The following is a 5,232-nucleotide window of genomic DNA, read 5'->3' as shown; positions in this document are numbered from 1 at the left end:
CTAACTGTCTGGATTTCTAACTGGACTCACATCTGGAGCCACCATGGCATTGTAGAGCAGCTACTGCAGGAAGCCCCTTGGGTGTCCTGGCCCCGCTCCACTCCTCGGGTCCCTGCCCTCAGTAGGTTGGCTTGGACTATCTGGATTCTATCTTGTCCAGGATAGCAAGTTGGTCTCTGCCCTGTGCCATTCCTCCCTCCTTCCTCGCACCTGTTGTCTACAAAGCACCATCAGTCCTTGTTCTCCTAAGCGGAAGGTGGCAGCAAGCACCGCCTCCCCCAGCCCTTCCTCCAAGCCCTGGTGAGCCCTTTGGCCTGGAGAGGTGCGGCAGAGGCTCCTGGAGAGACAAAGCCGGGCAGGAGGAGGAGTGGGCAAGGAGAAAGTGGGGAGTGGGATCTGTGAGGGGGGAGGGGATGGAGAACAGGGACTGTCGGGGCTCCACGTTCCTCAGGGAACCGCCTCCAAGAAACTTCATGCTCCAGCAAGAACTCATAAAATCAAAGATGTGCTTCCATATGCAATAACTTACCCAGAACAAGTGATGAAAGCTTCCTTCCCATTAATCACTGGGTGAGAGTTGAATTGATTTACAGCATGTGGCCCGTGCAGCACCCCACAGGGTTATGTATGGCTTGAATATGGACGTGACATCATATGCACTTCAGCTCGGCATTCAAGGCCCTCCCCAGGCAGAGCCAAGCTTGGCTGTAACTCCCTAACCTTCCACAGCCGCTTCCCTCTTCCTACTCACATCTCATCCCACTGCAACCCAGCTTTGAATAAATACATTACTGAAGCATGCTGGTGTAAAACCAGAGCCAGTGGCTGCTTCTAGCCAGTCACAAAAGCAGCTCAATCTGCTTCTAACGAGTCCAAGCCAGTTCCAACATCAATCATCTCAGGATGTAAACTGGTTCTAACATGATATGACTGGATCACACCAATTTGGACCTTTTAAAACAAATTCTGACTGGTTCTAAGGGGTTCTGGCTAAATCTAACTGGATCAAACCAGTTCTGTTCAGATCAAAGCAATGCTGACTGGTTTTAATAAGTCCAGCCCGGTTCCAACTCAGCCCACTCCTTTCTTGGCCTCCTTTGACCTTGCTGACTGTTCATGAAGGAAAAGGTGGGTTATGTGTTTGGTTTGGGGGAGCCCTCTAGAGAGGGATCCCGTTATTTTTTTGTTGTTATTTATTTATTTTTGAGACAGAGTCTTGCTCTGTCACCCAGGCTGGAGTGCAGTGGCATGATCTTGGCTTACTGCAACCTCCGCATCCCAGGTTCAAGTGATTTTCCCGCTTCAGCCTCCCAAATAGTTGGGATTACAGGCATGTGCCACCATGCCTGGCTACTTTTTGTAATTTTAGTAGGGGGGTTCACCATATTGGTCAGGCTGGTCTCGAACTCCTGACCTCGTGATCCACCTGCCTTGGCCTCCCAAAGTGCTGGGATTACAGGCATGAGCCACCACGCCTGTCCAGGAACCCGTTATTTTATTCCGAACTCACACTCACAGTTTACTAAGTACCATTGTACACACTGGTTCATTTGACCCCCACAGGTGTCTGAGGCAGGGGATTGTCTCCTTTATCCACTGTACCTGGGGGGCTGTGAGGTGGGCTCTGGAATCTCACGCTCCATGTGCCAGCTATGTAGCTTGGGTTTCCCTCCTCTGAGCCTCAGTTTCCTCCTCTGTAAAATGGGAGTAATAATAGTGTCTATTTCATTCATCATGGTAAAGATTGAGGGAGCTAACTGAGGCCAAAGCACTAAGAACACTGTTGCAACCCACAGCAAGTACACAATATGTGTTAGGTTTGTTTTTTTGTTTTTTTGTTTTTTTGTTTTTTTTTGTGAAACATATGCCCAGGAAAGTACTTATATTCAGAATTTACAATGAACTCTTACAACTCAGTAACAAGAAGACAAACCAGCTAATCAAAAAGTGGGTGAAAGATATAAACTTTCTTATTGTCGGTGTTACTGTACAATCATTGCGATGATTGTCACCATGCCAGTGGGAAACTGTAGGGGCCAGTCTCATTTGAACCCTAACCTCACCTAAACCATACCCTCCTGGCTTCTGACTGGGAACTGGGGGGTGTTCACAGAAAGTTAAATAGAGAATTGATTACCACTGTACTCTCCACTGTCACCTGCCAGGGGCTGTCCTGGGGTGGGTTTCCAATACTACTCCTGGGAATTTGTCACTTCTGAATTGCTTTCTGACAACGAGCAGAGGTTTCCTCTTGACTGAGAGCTTTCTATGATTGAGTAAATTCCCCTGGGACAAAGAAAATGGAGCGAGCTTTCCATTTACATCTGGCAGGCCAGCAGAGCCAAAGACCCTCTGTGGTGAATGGGCAGGGAGGGGGCTCTTCTTGGGCTGAGAAGAGGGAAGGAGGACTGTGCAGGGAAGGAGGACTGTTGAAGTGGGGACTTCTTTAGGGGCTCACAGAAGTTCTGGGGATCTGGGTCTCTGGGCTTCTTATCCTGCTCCGAAGAAGGGAGGGGACAGTGGTGGTGGCTGAGCTGTGGGGAGGGCAGTTTGGAAGACATCTTGCCCCAAGAGGGATGCCAGCTTCCTGAGGTGAGGACTGGGCTCTTCTCTCTGACTCTGTCTGTCAAAAACAAATCACACACACACACACACACACACACACACACACATCACTCAACACTCAAAAACTAACAATCGACATCCATCACCATTTGTTGAGGGTCTGCTGTTCTCTGAGCGCTTTCTGCATTGTGTCGTCTATTGTCACAGCCCTATGGAAGAGGTGCTATGATCAGGTCCCTTTCCAGAGGAAGAGACCAGCTCAGAGACTAGAGGGCTGGATGGAGCCCATGCCTGTCTGCCCTGTGGTTTTAGCCATTCTTTTCACCTTGCTCCTCCTGTCCCTGCTCTGTCCCCAACCCAGGACCTAGGAGGTGCCACCTGTCTTGATTGCTTCTGCCCCTGTTCCTTCCCTCGCTCACCTCCACCTGACCATAGGCTCCTGGAGGCTGGTTGTAGTCCCTACAGCCTGCCTGGCCCAGGGAGGTGTGTTGTGAGTTCTCCCGGACGTGGTCTGGTTGGCAGAGGACAGAATGACCAGGACACCCTAGTGCAGCCACTGAAGATGGTGGCGGGGTAGGGCAAGACAGGTCGAGCTGAGAAACTGTCTGAACTCTCAGGTGAGAAGGGAGCTCAGAGCCCACATCCACCACCGCGTGTAGTTGCCTGGCCTCTACCACTCGCACACTGCCTCTGTCGGGGAGCTCACTACTTCCACTGCGAGCAGCTGGGCCACTGCCACTGCCTTGTGACACACGCTGCAGCCTCAGCCACAGGGACCCTGGCCTCCCCTCCCGAGAGAAGGGACTGGGAGGCAGGGAACAGGACTTATTAAGTGTCCTTTCCATTCCAGACACTGGACCCAGTGATGGTGGGATCTGCTCATTGATTCCCACCACAACCCCATGAGGTAAAGATAAGCGCTCTCACTGGCTCCTCTTTTTAAAAGATTTTTGAAAATGTTTAATTGGGATAAAATACATGTAACCAAGAATTTATCTTCATAACCATTTCTTTTCTTTTTTTTTTTTTTTTTTGAGACAAAGTCTCGCTCTTTCGCCCAGCCTGGAGTGCAATGGCGCAATTTCAGCTCATTGCAACCTCCACCTCTGCGGTTCAAGCGATTCTCCTGCCTCAGCCTCCTGAGTAGCTGGGATTATAGGTGCATGCCACCACGCCCGGCTAATTCTTTGTATTTTTAGTAGAGACGGGGTTTCACTGTGTTGGCCAGGAAGGTCTCGATCTCCTGAACTCGTGATCCGCCCACCTCAGCCTCCGAAGTGCTGGGGATTACATGCATGAGCCACCGCGCCCAGCCCCTCATAACCATTTCTAAGCGTACAGTTCAGTAGAAAGAGCATTCACATTGCCATACAACCATCACCACCCTCCATCTGCAGAACTTTCCATCATCGCAAAAACTGAAACTCAGGGCCCACTAAACACCAACTCCCCATCCTCTCTTCCGCCAGCTCCTAGTAACTATCCTATTTTCTGTCTCTATGAATTTATTACTCTTGGAACCTCACGTGGGTAGAATCCTACAGTGTTTGTCTTCTTGTGATTATTAGCTCCATTTTAAAAGAAGGAGGCTGGGCATGGTGGCTCATGCCTGTAGTCCCAGCACTTTGGGAGGCCGAAGCAGGCAGATCATGAGGTCAGGAGTTCAAGATCAGCCTGGCCAACATGGTGAAACCCCGTCTCTACTAAAACTACAAGAAATTAGCCAGGCGTGGTGGCAGGTGCCTGTAATTCCAGCTACTCAGGAGGCTGAGGCAGGAAAATCACTTGAACCTGGGAGGGCGGAAGTTGCAGTGAGCAGAGACGGCGCCACTGCACTCCAGCCTGGGTGACAGTGTAAGACTGTCTCAAAAATAAAATAAATAAATAAATAATAAAAATATAAAGGAAGGAAGGAAGGAAATGGGGCCTGGCGCGGTGGCTCATGCCTGTAATCCCAGCACTTTGGGAGGCTGAAGTGGGTGGATCGTTTCAGCTCAGGATTTCAAGACCAGCCTAGACAACATAGTGAGACCCCATATCTACAAAAAATACAACATTTAGACAGGTGTGCTGGTGCACACCTGTAGTCCCAGCTACTTGGGAGGCTGAGGTGGGAGGATTGCTTGAGCCCAGCAGGTGGAGGCTGCAATGAGCCGTGACTGTGCCACTGCACTCCAGCCTGGGTGACAGAGCCAAACCCTGTCTCAAAAAATGAAAGTAAAAAATAAAGGAAGGAAATGGAGGCTCAGAAAGACTAAGCCCCTTGCCCACAGTCACCAGCTGGTTAGTGACAGCTAGGATTTAACCCAGGGCTGCCACACAGCTGGCATCTTCTTGGGTCCCTCCCTACTCCAGGTGAAATAGCCTGAGGCCCACTGGTGTCACAGGTGTGAGAGCAGGTATGAAGGGAAGCCCAGACACCTGGATTTGGCCTAGAAATAAGTCAAGGAGGCTCCAGTTTTTATGATCACTCCCTTGGATTCAGCATGAAGGTATTCAGCCAGGAGGGGCAGCGGAGGATGCCAAAATCTTTTTCTCCTGCTCTCTGAGGCCCAGCTGGCTTTTCCAGGCCATTTCCCCTGGAAGGTAGGGCAAGGGTTAGGCAAATTCCCAGAAAGGACACCGTGAGACATCCTCCAGAGCCTCTGCCTCACGCCTGGTGCTCAC

The sequence above is a fragment of the Homo sapiens genome, chromosome 15 (assembly GCF_000001405.40).
Source record: "Homo sapiens chromosome 15, GRCh38.p14 Primary Assembly".
Taxonomy (NCBI): domain Eukaryota; kingdom Metazoa; phylum Chordata; class Mammalia; order Primates; family Hominidae; genus Homo; species Homo sapiens.
Note: the sequence above shows the minus strand (reverse complement) of the source record.